We start from the raw sequence: 21164 nt of genomic DNA, 5'->3' as shown, positions 1-21164 counted from the left end.
TACAAGCTTTTACCTGGGTACATTCCAGATCTAGCATAGCACCGAAGACAGGAGGGCTTTTTAAGTATCTGCTAACTTTTTTTGGGGGGGTGGAGACAGAGTCTCGTTCTATTGCCTAGACTAAAGTGCAGTGGCGTGATCTTGGCACACTGCAACCTCTGCTTCCCAGGTTCCAGCAATTCTCCTGCCTCAGCCTCCTGAGTAGCTGGAGATTACAGGTGTGCACCACCACGCCTGGCTAATTTTTGTACTTTTAGTAGAGACGGGGTTTCACCACGTTGGCCAGGCTGGTCTCGAACTCCTAGCCTCAAGTGATCTGCCCGCCTCAGCTTCCCAAAGTGCTGGGATTACAGGCATGAGCCACTGTGTCCGGCCTAAACTATTTCTTTAAACTTTTCTCTCAAAAAAACAAAAAAAGTCCTGCTCTTGTCCCCCAGGTTTGGGTGCAATGGCTTTATCTCGGCTTACTGCAACCTCTGCCTCCTGGGTTCAAACGATTCTCCTGCCTCAGCCTCCCAAGTAGCTGGGATTAAGGCGCCTGCCATCATGCCTGGCTAATTTTTGTATTGTATTTTTTTAGTAGAGATGGGGTTTCACCATGTTGGCCAGGCTGGTCTCGAACTCCTGATGATGAGGTCAGAATGGGTCTATGGGGAGATTAATCATTATTTTATACTTTCAGTGTGGTCTGATTTTTTTTTTTTTTTTTTTTGGGAGAGTCTCGCACTGTCGCCTGGGCTAGAGTGCAGTGGCATGATCTCAGCTCACTGCAACCTCCACCTCCCAAGTTCAAGCGATTCTCCTGCCTCAGCCTCCTGAGTAGCTGGGATTACAGGAGCCCGCCACCACGCCAAGCTAATTTTTTATATTTTTAGTAGAGATGAGGTTACACCATGTCGGCCAGGCTGGTCTTGAACTCCTGAACTCGTGATTTACCCGCCTCGGCCTCCCAAAGTGGTGGGCATGAGCCACCGCACCCAGCCAGTCTGAATTTTTAAAACTGTAACTATGCAACAAAAACTTGAAAGGAAAAAAATGAATGGGAAAAGCAAGTCAACACAATTTCACTGTAAAGCAAACATCTGCAATGTTAGACCTTAGTGTCTTCTTTTATTTCTGTTTCCTCCTCATTGGTGGCATCTGTCATTTCTTTCAGGTCAGGGTCCTTGATGCCATGCATCAGCTGGACGTGCTTCTCCAGCATCAAACGTTTGGTAAAGGTACGTCTGGAGTCTGGGCAGTGCCTGTGGGGTGAAAGGCAAGGAGATAACGCACTTGCTGACAAAATAAGCTCCTGTGGAAGAACTCACGGTCGAAGGTCCTCCTTAGCCGTCAGTTCACACAGACAGGTCCAATAAGCTGAGTTCACACCATGGTTCAACACGCAATCAGCAATTTTGCTAGGAGTGGCCCTTAATTTACAGGTCTAGATGGCTTTAATTTTAAAGGGAAAATATTGCATTTCAAAAGAAGTTTTCACAATGACTCAGTATTCTCTCAGAATGAGCACCATGCTGAACACATTAGTATAAGGTCCCTCCTTGACTCCTTTGTGCTGCTGTTAATTATCCCTGTCCTCTGCCTTGACAAAGACATGAGTGTCCAGCGCCAAATTCTTCCAGGCACAAAAGCAGCATGCATGTTTATACTCATGGCAGTCGAGTGTGTATGGTCACTCAGTAGATGATAAGCAGATCAAAAATAGGTCAATTATTTTTCAAAGAAAAACTTATTTTAATAAAGCAGGCCAAAGATAGTTTAGAAAACAGGCTGGCCAGGTGCAGTGGTTCACGCCTGTAATCCCAGCACTTTGGGAGGCCGAGGCAGGCAGATCACCTGAGGTCGGAAGTTTGAGATGAGCCTGACAAACATGGAGAAACTCTGTCTCTACTAAAAATACAAAATTAGCCGGGCATGGTGGTGCATGCCTGTAATCCCAGCTACTCGGGAGGCTGAGGCAGGAGAATCGGTTGAACCCAGGAGGTGGAGGGTAGGGTGAGCCGAGATCATGCCATTGCACTCCAGCCTGGGTAACAAAAGCAAAACTCCGTCTCAAAAAAAGAAAAAAAAGAGGTAATGGCCCTAGTTATTATGTATGCTATAAAACCAGGTATCAAGAATGCTACTGAGGGAAGGACAAAAAGTCTCTTGTGGTCTCAAATCTGCCTTCAAAATAGCTTCGGAGGAATTCATACTGATTGGCCCTAAACCCTGATGACCTCACATTAGAGACACTTGCAGGGCAGTGGCAGGAGCCAGCACCACCCCCAAAGGACGAGGGCTCTCCATGAGGATGAATTTTTTGTTGGCCGTAAGTTAGCAGAACAATCCCAGCATTTTACTGCTTTACAGTGAGTTCATGGGGAAATAAACAAAACCTATCAGTGAAGCATTATGGGCCAGATCTCCCATCGTCTTCTTGGCCCAGAGCATCCTTCTAAATTCTGATTCTTTTGATTTGGTCTCAACACATACTTTATTCATAATCATTCTTATCTCACTAAACAGCTTCAATTTCACTGAATCAGATGATTCCTACCCGGTTATCATAACCCCCTGCGAATCTGACAGCCAACCTTCATAAGTCTCCTGATCCATAGGGTCCATCTGGCCTGCACTGACATCCATGTAACATTTCAGTGCTTTAGCCTCAGGGTCCTTTGTCTCTCTCTCTCTCATGAGACATGCTTTCTTCTTATCAACCCACTCCAGGTATATTCCAGCTGAGTGACAGCCTTTCACTAATGATGAGATACGTTCTGGTGTTCACGTATGAAGCAGCAGCTTATGACTGTCCACTGGAGTCTGGGTTGATGTTGGCCCACCCAGTCCCTTGCATTTGGTCACAGGCTGCCCCACCTTCAGTGGTGACTGCAGCCAAGGGGCAAAGGGCCCAGCCGAGGACTGAATCTGTGACCAGCCCTGAGTAAACAAGCTAGCCAAATCACCTCGCCAATGTGGCCAACTCGACATGTGCAGAGAGACCCTGTACTGCCAATCAATCGCTCCCCCAAGACACTCAGGGATCAGGCTGGGTGCCAGGGCTCATGCCTGTAATCCCAGCACATTGGGAGGTAGCAGGTGGGTCACCCAAGGTCAGGAGTTTGAGACCAGCCTGGCTAACACGGTGAAACCCCGTCTCTACTAAAAATACAAAAATTAGCTGGGTGTGGTGGCATGTGCCTGTAATCCCAGTTACTCAGGAGGTTGAGGTAGGAGAATCACTTGAACCTGGGAGGCAGAGGTTGCAGTGAGCCAAAATTGCATCACTGCACTCCAGCCTGGGCAACAGAGTGAGACTCCGTCTCGGGAAAAAAAAAACACACAATGTATGTGGGATATGCAAGAAAATGCTCCTTTTTTTTTTATTTTCATATTTAAGTGTGACAACCCAATCCAAAAACTCTATGCCAAAACAATAATACAATTGAGAAATGTAATGTAGGAACTGTGGAGCACACAGCAAGTTAATGGTACTACACTAAAAACCTTCCAGAGGTTCCTCCTGAGTCCTCTCACTGCGTTCCGTTAGAAACCAGGACTTACGAGCAGGCGTACACTTTCCTGATGCCTTTGTGCTTGATCCGGTTGTGCCGGCACAGGCTGTGGGACGAGCTGAAAGACTTGTCACACTGGCGGCAGGGGTGTTTCTTCATTTGCTGGAGGAAGGAGAGAAAGTTCACTTAAGGGAATGAAAATAGATGCACTCAAACAATTAAGAACTCTTTTGTAATAGTTTAAGTTAAATCATTATTACAGGTCCCCAAATCCAAAACTGAGGGTTGACATGACACTACACATGGAAAATGTCATATCTGACCTCATGTGACGGGTCACAGTCAGAACTGTGTCATGCACAAAATTAAAATTATTTTATAAAAGTCCCTTCAAGCTATCCATATAAGGTATGTATGAAACAAGAATAAATATCACAATTAGAGAGTCCCAAGATATTATGTATATTTGAATATTCCAAGATCCAAAAACATCTAAAATTTGAAACACTTCTGTTCCCAAACTTTCAGCTCAGGGATACTCAACCTGTATTTAGGAATACAGTAACAAAACCAAAAAACTTTTTAAAAATATATAATAAAAATGAGGACAGGGCTGAGGTAACCATGATGGGGCTAATTTTAGGAGGATGGGTTAAACTATCATAAGGGTAAAAAAAATTCTCTCTCAAAAACACAGGTTTTTGATTCAACACAAACATCCAGGTATTTGAAATAACATTATATAAATCTTTTACTGAAAAGATAATATATGAAACCATACATCAGTAAATACTAAGTAAAGCCACTACCTAATTTGTGGTAGATAGAATATGCTGTTTTATTCAGTATGCCATGTTAAATGAAATCTCTGGCTACCCTTTAATGACTAAGTAATTATTCATTATATAAGGGAAGTTTTCTAGAAGGATTTTTGTTTTAAATAATATCATTTGATAATCTCAAGAACACAGAACTTTGAAACAACTTTAAGGAGGCTGCCTGCTGGTATACTTAGGGGATGAGAGAGAGAGAGACAGCAAACACTGTCAAGTAGGTAAGCCGAATTTCCTTATATTTAAAAGTTTCCCACTCAGGCTGAGATATTATGTTAACTGAATATATTTCCATGCAGAACCTTTGAAGTAAATTAGTGGCGTAAAACAAATTCTTTGGTTATGACATGCATAGCAGTCTGGAACTAAACAGTGTCATATCACAAGGAAATTAAAGAGCTGTCAAGCCTCATGAATGGAACAAAATCTGGCTCTAAACTCATTAAAGACTGAAGTGGGACGAAGTTTTCATGTGAGATAATACTAAGAAGTGATTGCAAGCTATGTGATAAAGAAATGATTGATTACATTTTTTTGGGACTGAGTCTCATTCTGTTGCCTAGGCTGGAGTGCAGCGGTGTCATCTCGGCTCTGCAACCTCCGCCTCCTGGGTTCAAAGAACTCTCGTGCCTCAGCCTCCCGAGTAGCTGGGGCTAAAAGCACCCACCACCACGCCCGGCTAATTTTTGTATTTTTAGTAGAGACAAGGTCTCACCATGTTGGCCAGGCTGGTCTCGAACTCCTGGCCTTAAGTGATCCGCTGGCCTCAGTCAGCCTCCCAAAGTGCTGGAATTATAGGCGTGAGCCACCATGCCCAGACTGATTACATTTTTAAAAATCATTTTCCCATAACCGCTTGACAAACATGTCCTTGTTCAAACCGGCAGGCAAATCGGAGTGGCTGAGTCTGGCCGGCAGCACCTAAGATGAGCTGGCACCTGGTCTCTGCCTCATGAATCACAGGACCTGGTGAAAGCCACTCAACCCACGTGAATGTCCACTCCCACCCCTGTGAGGTGGGCTTGCAACAGTGCCTGCCTCCCAGGACGCTTCGAGAACACGGGGATGATTAACAAAGGGGGCAGGCAGCATGGGACACATCGCTCAGGAAATGCTCTTGTAATAGTCAAGTTATGCAGCCAACTTCCATTCAAAAAGCATAGAAAAATACTGTCTGTCTTTTAAATAAACCAAATCAGTCTGGTAGATATTCAAAAGGGTCTTGAATCCAAACAAGGGCAAAGGAGAAAATTTCTTCTCCAAGTTAAAAGTTATACCAATGCTGTTCATCTCTGGGGGAAACAACGAAAGAGAGAACAAAGCAAATAACAAGCTGGCACCCCCCAAAAATATTCTCTCATAAAGATTTGATTACACAAAATAGGCCAGCAGCAATCCCTAACCTCTTGGATTAGCATTTATGCAGCAAAAGAGTGACTAAGAGGTAACGAGCCTTTATTTATTTTAAAGCTTTAAAGTCATGAACAACAGGTCTGTATTTCAATAAAGATATTTAAAAATCTAGTATCTAATGCTTTTTATATTTTCTACATATAAAAATCAACTGAGGCTGGGCGCAGTGGCTCACGCCTGTAATCCCAGCACTTTGGATCACCTGAGGTCAGGAGTTCAAGACCAGCCTGGCCAACATGGTGAAACCCCGTCTCTACTAAAAATACAAAAATTAGCTGGGCATGATGGCAGGTGCCTATAATCCCAGCTACTCAGAAGGCTGGGGCAGAAGAATTGCAGTGGTTGCAGTGAGCCGAGAAGATCATGATACTGCACTCCAGCCTGTGAGACAGAGCAAGGCTCCATCTCAAAAGAAAAAAAAAATCAACTGAAAGTCATCTTTCTAAAAGCAAGACTGCTTCACCAAATCCTAACAGATTATAAAGAAAAATGTATCTTTCTAACAATACAATAGGACAAGAGACCCCACAGAAAGGAAAATTCGATTTCCTATTAAGGTGACGGGTTTAATATTCTATTTCTTCTTGTGTAGTAATATTAACATCAAAACAAAATTTTAATACAGAAATGCCAGTAAGAAAACCCTAAAAAATGAAGAGCAGCTTAGCAAATCAGTAACTATTTTCAAAAGATCAATCAATGTGAGAGAGACATCCTTCTGTTTCAGCATCTTTATGAAAAATGCAGAAATGAACTCTGCAATTCAAAAATAAGCAGGGTTTCCAATTCACTGGTGACAAGAAAATGAGGTTTAAAACACCAGTTTCCAGATCAAACCTGCCTGGTCACATTACCTAACAGACAACTTTCTTCCTCTGTTAGATTTTAAATACAAACTTATTCGAAGGTACTTTGCCAAATTTATTTTCGTAACTTCTGTTCCTCAATATTACTAGCTCCTTCTGCTTTTATGAGTTTAAAAAATGGGAAAACAGCATTTCAGTGTAAAGCCCACCGTCATCATTCTAAGACTTTAGGCCGTTTGCTTCCTCCTGGCTTTACTATAAGCTGAGATTGAGAGCTTTGGGTGGACTTTTTAATAGTTAACTAAGATCAGAAAAGGAACATGTCTTCCTACTCAGTTCTGAGTTACTTTGTTTTTAAATAGAACTCTTTAAAGAAATAGTGAACTAATAAGCTGGCAGGGTTTCCAAAGTTTTTAACATAAAACTTTTTGAGAGTAAAATATCAAAATAAACACTTGGGTACACTTCCTAAACTTTCTTCCTCCCGTCTCATTTTTGACTTTCATCTTCACAGCTTCAGGAAAGAAAGCATTAATCCCGCCTCCTTTTCTCCAGTGACTATGCTAGGCGTGCGCTACCCCATGCTGCTGCTGTGCTTGGGATGGTACGGCCTTGGCAGGCCATTCTTCCCGGAGAGCACTTGGTGGACGTGTCTCGGTTTGCCACGGGGCTTCCCTCACAATCAGAAACTTCCCATTCTAATAACTTGTCCTTTCTGTTTCTGTGCTTACGGGTCTCTGTTTCAGGTGACTTTGGGGAAGTTAGAGGGAGAAAAGTCATAACTTCATACCCAGATCTGGCAAGGCATCCACATCTCACCTTGTCCTGGGAGTCCTACCTCCACGAGGTATCTGCCTTGCACCAACATGCAAGAGCCTCCTTAACGACCACCATGCAGCCAGAAACTCCCACAAACTTAAAGACTGCAGGCTACAGGATTATCCTCAACCGTTGCTGACACATGCCCTTCAGCTCACACCTTTTTATGAAAAAGGAAAAACCAAGCCAATCACATGATTTAAATATAGCACAGCAGCAGTCCCTCCAAAATTCACTCCTAAAGCTCTGACCCCTTCCACTGGGCAATCTATTCTATGAAGAGACCTGCATACTTACTACAGCCCGTTTCTGCTGTAATGCAACATCGGTGCTCCTAAAAATCACTGCACTATGCAAAACTTCAACAAAACAACAGGGCCTCTAGCAAAAATGGAGTCACGGAGACAACACTCAAGACTTTGTCAGTGACACATCGAATGAAAATATTTAGTTTTAACTACGTCAAATGGTTAAGAAATGCAAAAAACACTGCACTTTACCTTGAAAAAGACCTGCAGTGAGCTTGTGGAGGTCAGAGGGTTGCAGCTTGTGAGTTACTGTGAAGTGGGGGAAGGAGGGCAATCTTAGTGGAAGGGAAGCTTGCAACACCAGCTGTGGATGGATGTGACCCACAGTTGAGAGGGAGGCCCTGGTGAAATCGGAGGTTTGTTGTGTGTATGTGTTTTGTGTTTTCCTACACAACTCCACAGCATTCTGTAGTCACTTGGTATTTCTCAGGGATGAAATCACACATAAGCAAACATGAAATTCAGGTTAAGCTCCCATTGTTCTGATAAATCTTGGTACTGGGATAAATTTGTTTCAGCATAAGTGTTATAGCAGAAGTCACTGTGTTCAAGTTTATTCACTGCACCATTGTGTACGGTGGGTCCATCAAAGGAGAACTGGCTAAATACATGCATGCACTCATACCACAAGATGCCGTGCCGCTACAGAAATGGAGGGAAGATCTCAATGCACTGATACGAAAAGAACCATAACTACTAAGCGGAGAAAGTACTGGTACACAAAATTATAGATGGAAGCTGTGTTCTGTATTAGAAGAATGAGAATATATGCATATATGCTAATACTTGCATAAGGAGACTTCAAGATAAGAAACTTAGGAGTTAAGACTTCACTATATTCCTTCATATTGTTTAAATTTTTAAACTATGTAAATATAGCACATATCCAAAAAAAATTTTACCGCAAAAAAAACTGAGCTTATTGAGATATAGTTTATAAAATCACTTTTTTAAAAGTAGAGTTCTATGAATAAGTGCCACCACAGTCAAGACATAGAACAGTTGTGTCATCCCCCAAAATTCCCACGTGCCCTTTATAATCAACCCCACCCCCTCGACCCCGCTCTTAGCAGCCAGGGATTTGCTTTCTATCTCTGGTTTTGCTTTCTCCATTTGTCATATAAATGGAGCCATACAGTACACGTGAAGCTTTGAGTCTCGCTTCTTTCACTCAGCATAATACACATATAATTCCTCCACGCTGTTGGGTCTATTGGTATTTGTTCCTTTTCTCTGCTGACTAGTGTTCCAGTGTGGATGTGCCCAAGTGTGTTTATTCACTTGCCAAGTGAAAGCCATTTAGGGATTTTCTAGTTTTTGATATTATGAATAAAGCCACTATAAACATTTACTATAATCATTCATCTGTGCATATGATTTCTCTTGGGTAAATACCCAGGAGCGGGATTACTAAGTCATATGTTAAATAAGAAACTGTCTAACTGTTTTCCAGAGCGGCTGTCCCCTGCATACCCACCAGCAATGGAGAGAAACTGCCACCGTTCCGCCATCTTTTAACATTTGGCATTGCCACTTCATTTAGTTCAGTCATTCTACAGGGTGGCCAGTAGTATTTTGTTGTGGTTTTAATTTGCATTTCTCTAATGACTTATTAAGGTAACAAAAAAATCTTTCTGGCCAGGCACAGTGGCTCACGCCTGTAATCCCAGCACTTTGGAAGCCAAGGCGGGCGCACCACTTGAGGCCAGGAGTTCAAGTCCAGCCTGGCCAACATGGCAAAATCCTGTCTCTACTAAAAATACAAATATTAGCTGGGCATGGTGGTGCATGCCTGTAATCCCAGCTACTCAGGAGGCTGAGGCACAAGAATCACTTGAACTCGGTAAGCAGCAGTTGCAGTGAGCAGAGATAGTGCCACTGCATTCCAGCCTGGGCGACAGAGTGAGTGAAAACTCTGTCTCAAAAAACAGATATATATTTCAATTAGTAGGTAAAACACCAACTTACAGTAAGCCTCTTTCTTCAAAGAAAAAGCGTACAATCAAAGTTTTGTTGTTTTTTAATTATTAAAGGGATGTTTGGGGGGCATTTTCCCTCCCCCATAAGCTCCTTGAGAACAGAAGCTGTCAATTGTTCATCTCTGCATCAGAAAACAGTAAATACTGTGGGAATGAATAAATAAAGATTAACTGAACAAAACTGTCTACTTGGAAAACATCGGCAGGTTCTACGAAGTAATCATGGAGTAACAAATTTAGGATAAAGTGCTGGACACAGAGGAACTCTGCTTATTTCCTGCAGGATGGCCAAGACATGACGGTGTTTAAATACGGATAAGAAAGAGCCTGTAATAAATGAAGAGACTGAGGATAGAGGCGAGCGATGAATGAATGAGCAGGGAGACAGGGATTCAGACACAGGAAGAACAGCTCTTCCTGTGTGGCCAGAGCCAAGGCGTCATCCGGGGACAGGTGTGATGCTTATTAAAGTCAGGGGTGGGTGGGTGACGAAGGGGCCCAGATATTGAGGGAATTCCTGCTCAGCAGCTTCCATTTTCAAAATGAAGCACGTATGGTACATTTTAGACTTCAGACTCAAATAACTGTGGCCTTCATTTTCTTATTTCTTTATCAAAGTAACAAATGCTTATTGCACAATGTAAAAGAGAAAAGATTGCTTCCAATCTCACCCATCAAAATAACCACTGTCAATTTCTAATGACACAGCCTTCCCACTTTTCTGAATATACACACTGATGTGTATTTATATTTCTAAAACCGATCTATATTATACATATTGGCTTTCAAACTAATTCTTTTTCACTTGTAAAACACACATATCTACACACACTGACAGTTGTTTTCTTGTTTGTATTTTTGAGACAGAGTCTCTGTCGCCCAGGCTGGAGTGCAGTAGTGCAATCTCAGCTCACCATAGCCTCTGCCCTGGGATTCAAGTGATTCTCGTACCTCAGCCTCCCAAGTAGCTGGGACTGCAGGTGTGTACCACCACACCTGGATAATTTGTGTGTTTTTAATAGAGATAGGGTTTCACCATGTTGCCCAGGCAGGTCTCAAACTTCTTACCTCAGGTGATCTACCCGCCTCAGCCTCCCAAAGTGCTGGAATTACAGGCGTGAGCCACCATGCCCAGCTAGTTCTGCATTCTTAACAAGTGTATTGTATTCTGTTGCACAAATGAACCATGAATTGTTTATCTTCTATTAAAGATTCAGGTTGTCTCAACTTCTTAGTAACTACAGACACAAATTTCCATAATCAATTATTTCCTTTGTATAAACTATTGAAGGCAGTCTTTCCAATATAAAGGTTGTGAAAAATAAGCCTCTTTAAATGCCAAACTGCCCTAAAAAAGATTCATTCTACCACCACTAGCACGTTCACCAAGGGAGTTTCCCACACCAGCTCTAGTCTTCAACTCTACCAAAGTGATAGGTAAAACAGTCGACCAACTTTTTCTCTAAATGGCCAGACAGTATGTTAGGCCAGAAACCATAAGGTTTCTGTTGCAACTACTCAACTCTGCCCTTGTACCTTAAAACCAAGAATAGACGATAATAATTAAATGAATGGGCGTGGCTGTGTTCTCATAAATTATTTACAAAAACAGGTGGCAGGCCCATGAAACGCAGTTTGCTGATCCCTGATTGAGACCACTGTTTCACATTCAATAGAAAATAGAGACAAGTCTCAATCATTCAGAACCAAATTTATGTAAATTTATGTAGATAATCTAAAGCCAGTCATAACTATAAAGTGAAAAGAATGCTTTTTTTTCATATGCCATGCTCTAAACAGGTTCTGAGAACCAGCACTATCACTGTCACGTGCCTAGATTACCGAGGTGACAACTTTGAAATAAAGAGGGTTAAACCAACGTGTGCTTACCACTATGCTTATTTAAAACAACAAAAACAAAACCAAGTCTCCGAAGTTTCTGGTTATAAGACTGTCTGGTCTGCTGATGACACTGTACAACTGAAAAAGTAATGACGCAGAACAGTAACAAATGCACAAGAACAGAAGGCCAAATCCGGAGCAGATGGCAAAGAAACGTGTCGCACCGTAGTTTCTGAGCTTAGGGCAATGTCAGACACTTGGGCAGAGAAAAAAAGAAAGGGCTGAAGGAAGGCTACCTAACTTTCTAACAAGCTGCCAGCATCATGCCAATGAAACCCAGAAATGCCTGCCAGGGCACGGTGGGGCTACCAGGGGTACATGCCTGCCAGGGGCCTCTGTGTCCACCTCCACTGGCCAGTGGGGATGTGCAGCAGAGGTTTGGGACTCTCACTGCAGACCCTAAACAAACCTCACATCTCTTCTCTGTCAGGGGACTCTTGGGTCAATACCCTCGTGCCATCCACTGGGTACATCTTTATTAATCCTCATTAGAAAGCCGACAAAATAAATCCTGACTAATCTTTACTGCCTCTCCTTCACAATGACTGACGCCCTGGAAAGAGGGCTGACAGGTGCCTTGAGGCATCCATTGCCATGATCATAAACTCTGAAACATTCACCAGAGACCACCTGACTATGAAAAAAATCTTTGCTGCCCTATTTGTCTAGATCTGGCTCAACTTCATTCCCCTTCTACTTGCAGGCATCTGTCCTACCTTTGAAGCCTCCCTGGTTCCCAAGATGTCCATCTACAGATGGGTGACATGTTATTTCTCTTATTATTCCTGTTCTCAGAGAATCCAGTCTTCAAAAAGGGACCACTGGCAGGAATACACAGAATATTTTCTCCTAGTACAGTAGTTATAGAATCTTTTGGCCCTTTTTAATCATAAAGCAATTGAAACAGAAAAAGGTCACTGTGAAAGATTTTTTTCCCCGTATAATAGCTAGTATTTTATAAAAGGACAAATATGGTTGGGCACAGCGGCTCACGCCTGTAATCCCAGGACTTTGGGAGGCCGAGGCAGGTGGATCACGAGGTCAGGAGTTTGAGACCAGCCTGACCAACATAGTGAAACCCCATCTCTATTAAAAACACAAAAAAATTAGCCGGGAGTGGTGGCATGCATCTGTAATCCCAGCTACTCAGGAGGCTGAGGCAGGAGAATCGCTTGAACCCAGAGTGGGAGGTTGCAGTGAGCTGAGATCACGCCACTGCCCTCCAGCCTAGGCGACAAAACGAGACTCCATCTCGGGGCAAAAAAAAAAAAAAAAAAAAAAAAGGGACAAATATTGCTACATAATAAAAATTAAATACCGCTTGAAGACTTACATAGAATCTTTCTAGTATTTATTTCCACAAATCAAAAGACAAAAGAAACTAATCATTCCTTTTAAAGATAATTGCTGTTTTTATCAGATCAATAAAAAATGTGTTAACAACATTAAAAAGTAAACAAGCAAACACAAATGTCAAAAAAGCTAACCTAATGATGACATGTCACTTTCTCCAGTCCCAGCCCCACATCATATAGGAACTTTCCAACTGCCTGAATGACCACTTTAATAAGGTCCCACCAGTAGGTATAATCAACCATCATATCTGAAGGTGTAACAGAAAAAGGGCAGTGCACAAGTGACCCCTTAGAGTGTCCCAGGAAGGTGCTGTGTACCCAGGTGAGAGACCAAGCTGCCGGGCAGCGATGAAGACGCCCCTCTGTGCTCCGTGTCGGTGTTGATTGTGGTGTTGCAATGACTGGTTTTGAGGAGACATGAAGAAAGGGTATGAGAGTGGAGCCCATCTTCCTCCCTGAACCACCCTTCCAACTGGACATTAACATGGACTTGCTGGATTTGGCAGACTGGACAGAACTTTCCTCTGTGCTGGTCTCACCCTAGGCCCCAGCTCTCCTCCTGCCAAGCAGTAAGACTGTGTTCTCACTCACAACTCGAGGTGGCTGTGGAAAAGCTCACACCCCGAGGCTCAGGCACAAGAGCTAAAGTGCTCTGCAAAAAGTCCTACAATCCCTCTGGGTCTGAAGTTTTCCCAACTTAAAACTAAAGCGAGCAAGCATCTCCTACCTCCCAGTTACCTTCTGGTGCTGTCTATCTTACAAGTCCTTATTCATTCAACCATGCCCGGGAATGGCCTCTTATTTTCTTTGATGTCCCCACCTGTGGCTAAGTTATTTTCTAGTTGTTTTAGGTTTCAAGGTAATGTCAATTTACAGACGGAATCATGTCCTAAATTCTTAAAATCTGAAAATCTGGTCTGCCAATTGGATTGAGGAACACATTTTCCTAAAGAAATTACAAATGACAGTTATATTCTAGGCCAAGTCCATAACAGCCTCACCAGGCACTGCAGTAGAATCACAACACTGAACCAATGCAACAGAGACAAATCACCCTTTTCAGCACTGATTCAATGAAGAAACCTAATCCCAGCGCAAATCTGGGCTCTTCAAGGCATGAGAGATACGACACTCCTCCCACTCCCACCACCCCAAGGGATCTATGTCTACGCTCTACCTGCCATGGATTCCAGGGACAGGGAGGGAACCGTGGGTCACAAGAAGGGACTTGAGATTGAGAGAGGACAAGGGAGAAGGTTCAGGGAGGCACTGGCCTGGGTCTGCCAGAAGCCAAGGCTTTGCCATCTGTAAGCTTCCAGGTATGGGAGCACCATGATGAGACAGCAGAACCCAATCTCCAAGCCAAAAGGAAGAGAGGGGTAAGGAGCTAGACTCGCTGCAGCCATGGGCACTGGAAGCCGAGCTGGAAGGAAAAGTGCTTGTTTGTGACAGTGAGGGAGCTTAGTCTCTGGCTATGGGAATGTTTTTAATCTGAAATATTTTTGGCCAGGAAGTCCTGGTATATTCTCCCAAAGCAGACAAAGACAGGCACCAAGTCTCCTATTTTTCCTGTCTCAGCAACAGCACCAGCCCAGTGTCAAGGGAGCCTCTACCTTCTGGGCCCCTTAGAGATAAACAGGAAAAGCCAGGGGAGGAAATATCTTCCTTGGTCTCCAAAATAACAGCAGCCCTGGTAGGCAATGAACTACAAATGTCTTAAGTGTCTGTAAACATCTTAGTCACTGTGGTGTTCTTAAGCACCATGTTCTAACCCATTATTGCCTGCATGCCTTGTAGGGTACTGACTTTTCAGAGACGAGTACCATATGTGCTGTACTTCATGTGCAAAGATACAGCTTGGTATCCACAGCTCAAGTGCTGTAAATGATTTTTTCTAACACATGTTTAATGAGCCTGCACTGAACCACTCCCTTTCGGCCGGCAATTCTGGCCAAAGGCTTGCAACTGCCATGCGGCAAGGTAGAAGGTGCAAATCTATAGTAATAAAACGTGGTGAGAGTTAAGTAGCCACAGCCAGTCCTCAGCCAAACTGAGGTCTGAAGCAGCCTCAGCAACCCAGCAGGCCGTGGGAGACCGAATGCCGTGCGTTTCGATTAATTCCTTCCACGGTATTTACCGAGCTCCGACTCTAACTTGCCAGGCTCTCCATGCCCTTGAGGAGATTATAATCTGTTGAACAACAGCAGAAAAAAAAAGTATGGTGGAGGCGGCCACAGGTGCACGGAAGGGTGCACGGGGGGGCAGGGTGGGGATGAAGAGACCTACTGGTGATAACTAGCTCACAGGCAGGCAATGCAGCAAGGAAAGGTATGTCCAGGCAAAAGGAACAGAAAGCAACAAAGACAAGGAAGAATGTGGCACATGTCAGGAAACTGCGAGCAGCTCTGTATTGCTGGAACAAGAATAGGCAAGGGTCCAGGGGGAGGAGAGGTGGAAAAGGAGGCAGGGTAAGATCATGGAGGGCTCCAGGGCCACCTATGACAGTCACACTTCCAAGAGATGCTCTGGCAGCTGTGTAGGGTCTATCGGGGAAAGCTTTGTTATCTGGCAATGGGTTCTAATGATAGGGGGATTGGTTCTGTTGGGGACCCTCCACTGGGACCACCAGCTATTCTACCTCTAGGCCTACCAGCCCCTAAATCCTAGCAGACTTTCAGAAAGAAGCCCACTGACCTGGTTACCAGATTCAACACCTTTGTCTTGCTATTACTTTAATAATTTCATTGCACATCCTTCGATGTGGGGTTTTTATACTTAATATCCAGTGGGATGTACATTAATATACTCTCATGCAGTGTCATGAGAAAACGTGCACACCATAACAATAACAAGAGTTAATAAAGCCACAGCTTTTCCCTTAGACCACATAACAGGACATACATAAATACACATTTATAGCCCTTCAACCTTGTTTATAGCAACCTCGGGTGAGTTTACAGAAAAATGCCTCCAACAGACAGACATCTGACCAAGCAGCAACATGTCACAGTAAAGAGCATATCTTCCTAAGAACCTGAAAGAAAAAAAAAAAAAAAAAAAAAACACAAAAAAATGCCTTTTCTGGCTATACACAAGATGTGGACTAATATTTTACAGTCTTATTTGTGTCACATTTTCAAAATAACGTGTTAGTCTTTCTTGAAAGGATTTATTTTTCTGTCCCTAATGGAAAAATAATCAGTAAATTTTAGAAATGGAATCTGGTCGTTTGTCATTTCATTTTCTTTCAATTTAGAGGGCAAACCTTATGGTTCCTTCTTTGTATCTTTCACTTTGTTTCAGTTCAGTGAAATTGCCTGGTACTGGGGCAAGCTTGGGGCTTTCCAGATTCTTGTTCATGATCCAAAAATAAACAGGTTTGCTAAAACACATAATAGTTATAAAATATAATTTAGAAACAAATTATAAACACCAAGGCAAGTAATTTTAGATAAACATTTTAAATGAAAGATAATTCCCAAAGTAAAAACTCATGGTTTTTCTAGCTATTCTTAAAAATATATAACTCCTAAACTGAAATTATTCTCCAATCTCATCTTCCTGTTAGGCAGCTTTTATAAACTCTCCAGCATTAAGAGCAAAATCCTCTAAATAGCTTATCTCTCAGCTTAATCCCTTTACAGCAGAACTACTCAAGGAGAAGAGAGAGGGTAGGAGAGTAGGAGGGAACGTATGTAAGTGTGAAGGTAACACAATTATCTAGAGAAATTTAAAAATAGACTTCACTCCTACCCAGGTCCTACCCACTTCTCCACATCCCAAACCCCCATAACCAGACTCAAAAAAACCCTGATTCTAACTGTGCTCTCTGCCTCGAGAGCCTCTGCTTTAAGATAACTCCTGGAGTCAAGAAAGGGCCTCTCTCTTGTGCATTTCTCCAGATTTCCGAGACACTGCAGGAAGAGGCTCTGTCCCTCATAAGGCTCAGGCCCTGCTACAATCCATGCAGCCCCCAGATACATCCCAGGCAACTGCTAAATTCAAGCCACTCTAAAACATTTCATAATTCTGCAGGAAGATTTGCCCAATTAATTAACGACACCATGATGCTGTTAACAGCAACTGCAAGTAATTCCAGAAAGCATCAGACCCCAGCTAAGGAATATAAAACCAGGACATTCACAGTCTTCCAAAACTACACACACGTCCAGTTAATGATGGCATAACCAACTTTAACCAAGATTGAACACCTAAATGAAATGAAAATGACTACATCAAAAGCAGAAGTAAAAACTGGATGGAAAGACATATCTGCTAACTGTCCCACATCTATATTGAAAGATTCAAGGAGACTAAAATTAAGCAGCTTTTGAAATGTCAGCTTTCATTCTGTGCAAACTGCAGAGTCTGGGCTAGAAACCTGCCTCTGGCAGGCTGCAAAACCCTGGGGTAAGTTATTGAACCTTTCTCAGGCTTCATTTCCTCACCTAAAAGTGGGATTCGTAACTGTCTCCCCTCAGGAGCCTGCTGCAATGAGATAGTAAGTAGGGTAAGCCCTCAGACAGTGTTAGCCCCAGTATCCTTAACACCCCGCCTTCCAATTTAGCCACAAGCTACCAAAATCACCAATAGTTCAATATGTACTTTAATATGCTCTGAACCAAAAATTTTCAACATCCTTTTTACAACACATTTATAGCCTTACATTAAAAAAAGTTCTTATTAAATCAAGTGGAGGACTTCAGAAAACTACATATAGTAAACCATACTAATAAAATATCAAATAAACTAATAAAATATAAATTATAATAAAAGTTAGTATTAAAAATTATAGATTTATATAGTATAAGAAATATGTATTATATATGATCTATAGTATATAAATATATAAGAAATATATGAAGTAAAAATATTTAGAATATAATAAAATTATAGGCCAGGTGTGATGGCGCACATCTGTAATCCTGGCACTTTGGGAGGCCAAGGCTGGAGGATCACTTGAGGCCAGGAGTTTGAGACAAGCCTGGGCAACAAAGACAACTCCCTCTACCCCGAACTCCCTACAAAAAAATGAAAATCAATAAAAATTAGCCAGGCATGGTGGTGTTCACCTGTAGTCCCTGCTACTCAGGAGGCTGAGGCTGGCAGATTGCTCGTGACCAAGAGTGTGAGGTAGCACTGAGCTATGATCACGCCACTGCACTCCAGCCTGAGCGACAGAGCGAGACTCTGTCTAAAAAAAAAAAGAAAAACTGTGTATACACACACACACACACACACACACACACACACACACACACACACAAACAAAATATCAATTCCAGTGGCCAAAACTAATGAAAAATAAGTTTCATAAAGCCAGCAGTGATATACATTTCTAGCATGAATATACAAACTCTTAATGTGCCTTTTAATCACATCTGACACAAATGCAGAATCAAGTGAGAAGCCATCACTCTCTAACAGTCAACCAGAGATAGAAGAGAACATGCAACTGATTTAAAGATATTTCTCCTAAAACCTTGAGATCACAAATAAGTTCTAAGCCAAAAAAGATAGGAGAAACTGGTTTTTTAAAAAATTTTTTACCTGTTGCTAGGGTAACAGGATTTTGGCAGGAAGTCAAAGTCGCCATAGCTAAAAGATGAGTTTTAAAAGGATAAAAATCTATTATATCCCTACATTTAGATTAAATAAGAGACTTTGTAGTAAGGCATGCCTAATGACAACAGGATGAACTCTAACAGTAAAAGAATGAAAATGAAACCATCTGGCAATGAACTATGCAAACTAGACAGTATTTCAGTATTTTTATCCCCTTAACTAATGGCCATCACCACAGTACAGCACGAAGACAGAAACAACATGGAGATGTAACGTTTTATTTCACAAAGTTATCTAAACAAGTTTCAGGGAGATTAAGGGGGGCAATTATGCCCTACCACACATTTCATACACATGGCTAGGTTCCAGGTTGTGTGGGTGAGCACCTTTTAAATTTTTTTTTTTTTTTTTTTTTGAGACAGGGTCTCACTCTGTTGCCCACACTGGAGTGCAGTGACACGACTGCGGCTCACTGCAGCCTCAAGCTCTGGGCTCTAGCAATCCTCCTGCCTCAGCCTCTGAAAGTGTTAGGATTACAGGCGTGAGCCACTGCACCCGGCCAAGTGGGCACTTTAAAAATTTATATACATACACACACACACACACACACACACACACACACACACACACACATTTTTTTCTTTTAAATACTGTGCAAGTGAGAGTCTCTGTAAAGCTCCTCAGTCAATCTGATTCTAAGCATGGTGGTCCCAAACTAGGAAATGCAAGCTGATTGCCTTGCCATTCTTTTCAAAAGTAACAACAGCACACCTGCCTCAGTGGCTGTGGTCATCTCTCCACACTCTGATCCTTTCATTCTCCCACTTTCCTTCACTGCCACTGCTGTCTTTCACCTACATCTCTGAGTGAACTGAAAGTGAATTTCAGAATGGGAAAGGCTACAAAATAGCAAGTATTCAAATCACCTATCACCTGCACCCTGTATGGAAAATGCAGATGAAATCTATGGACTTTTCTTAAAGGCTTTAGGAACAGAAACATTAAGACATCCTAAAATCATTTATAATCAGGCTTTAAATTATATTGAACAGACTTACTAATGCTGTAAATCCAACATCCAGAGAGTTGTGTCCCCTGCCTTCACCACCAAGAGTGAACGTTGGGTGGAGTCTTTAAACAAATACACTTGAGATCAACCTTCCCCAAAACATAAACTCAACAAAGGTGTGTTGGTGCTATAGCAGTCACACAGTGAGGGCCACAGCAATGAGCATCAGCAGCAAGGGCAGGTGTGCGGCAGATCCCAGGTGGTATGAGTGTTCCCAGCCCTGCCACAACACTGGAATCACCTGGAAGCTTTAAGAATGCCAGGGCCGGCTGGGTGCGGTGGCTCACGCCTGTAATCCCAGCACTTTGGGAGGCCGAGGCGGGCAGATCACGAGGTCAGAAGATCGAGACCATCCTGGCTAACATGGTGAAACCCCGTCTCTACTAAAAATACAAAAAATTAGCCGGGCGTGGTGGTGGGCGCCTGTAGTCCCAGCTATTCAGGAGGCTGAGGCAGGAGAATCGCTTGAACCCAGGGTGGGAGCTTGCAGTGAGTCGAGATGGCGTCACTGTACTCCAGCCTGGGCGACAGAGAAAGACTCCATCTCAAAAAAAAAAAAAGAATGCCAGGGCCAGGTCCCACCCCTAGTGATGCCAATTAGCTGGTCTGGTGAGCACCAAGTGTGCTGGGCCGTAGGCTCTCCGGGTGATTCTCGTGTGCAGCTACCAAGTCAGACTCACTGCTCCCCCTGTAGCCTTCCTGCTGACAAGGACTTCTTCCTAGAAGTTCTGTTTCGATCCACAAATTAGATTAACTGTGAAACCAAATGCTTTCCACAGAGACTTGGTTAGTCCATGGAATGACTTTTAGACTGTGACTGGTTTAAAATATCCACCTCACACTAGCAATGGCTACTACATAGATTACCACTGGTAGTTTCCTTTCATTCCAGTGTCCGAGGAGAAAGGTCACATTGGCCCTAGAATCCATTTTTTTTTTTTTTAGACAGAGTCTCGCTCTGTCATCCAGGCTGGAGCGCAGTGGCGTAATCTCGGCTCACCGCAACCTTCACCTCCCGGGTTTAAACAATTCTCCTGCCTCAGCCTCCTGAGTAGCTGGGACTACAGATGCCCGCCACCATGCCCAGCTAATTTTTGTATTTTTGGTAGAGGTGGGGTTTCACCATATTGGCCAGGCTGGTCTCAAACTCCTGACCTCAAATGATACATCCACCTCGGACTCCCAAAAGTGCTGGGATTACAGGCATGACCCACCATGCCCAGCCGACCCTAGAATCCCTTCTATTCCATTATTTTACAGATGAGCATCTGGCCACTACCTGAATACTTCCAGCAACAGATAGGCAGACATTTCACTCATGCATGGCCCCAGCTGGTCTGGAATTATCACATGCTGGTCCTCACATGGAGGACATCTATCTGAAGACAGCTATCAAAGCTCCCCTTAACCCCAACTTCTCTCTTCCTCCTGCCACTGTTTCTAGACTCAGCATTCTGCTTACCCTCCTCTGCTAGTTGTCAGCATCCATCTTAAATCGATGCAATGGAACCTTTCCCTGTTTAGATTCACTGTGGCCACCTTACTGCAGGTGACAAATACTACTTGTCATTCCCTCCCCTTTGCGGTACACGCGGGAATATACTTGGGGCTGCTCACA

General features: G+C 43.0%; 1 protein-coding gene across 57 annotated transcripts in view, besides 1 other annotated feature; it reads right to left on the bottom strand.

Annotated features, from left to right (window-relative positions):
• ZNF532 (zinc finger protein 532) overlaps positions 1-21164 on the bottom strand; it is a 123557-nt gene that overhangs the window by 3767 nt on the left and 98626 nt on the right. For 41 of the 57 annotated variants that reach the window (NR_148459.2, NR_148460.2, XM_047437584.1 and 38 more), the window contains 2 exons: positions 3547-3659; positions 1097-1244 (listed from right to left, as the gene is read on the bottom strand). Coding sequence is in view for 54 of the 57 variants with exons in the window: in XM_047437584.1 (XP_047293540.1) it covers positions 1097-1244; positions 3547-3659 (261 nt within the window). In the remaining 3 variants the exon portion in view is untranslated. Of the gene's footprint in view, positions 1-1096; positions 1245-3546; positions 3660-21164 lie in introns of those variants that run through there. The other 16 variants (XM_047437592.1, XM_047437607.1, XM_047437599.1 and 13 more) reach the window with 3 other exon arrangements.
• Positions 13840-14753: an enhancer, noted in NCBI's record as "H3K27ac hESC enhancer chr18:56635193-56636106 (GRCh37/hg19 assembly coordinates)". NCBI's record gives its function as "activates a minimal SCP1, AML or CMV promoter by ChIP-STARR-seq in naive H9 embryonic stem cells {active_cell/tissue: H9 hESC(naive)}" and the evidence as "EXISTENCE:reporter gene assay evidence [ECO:0000049][PMID:30033119]".

This window comes from Homo sapiens, chromosome 18, assembly GCF_000001405.40.
Source record: "Homo sapiens chromosome 18, GRCh38.p14 Primary Assembly".
NCBI classification, from domain to species: domain Eukaryota; kingdom Metazoa; phylum Chordata; class Mammalia; order Primates; family Hominidae; genus Homo; species Homo sapiens.
Note: the sequence above shows the minus strand (reverse complement) of the source record. Positions and strands in the feature narration are given on the sequence as shown.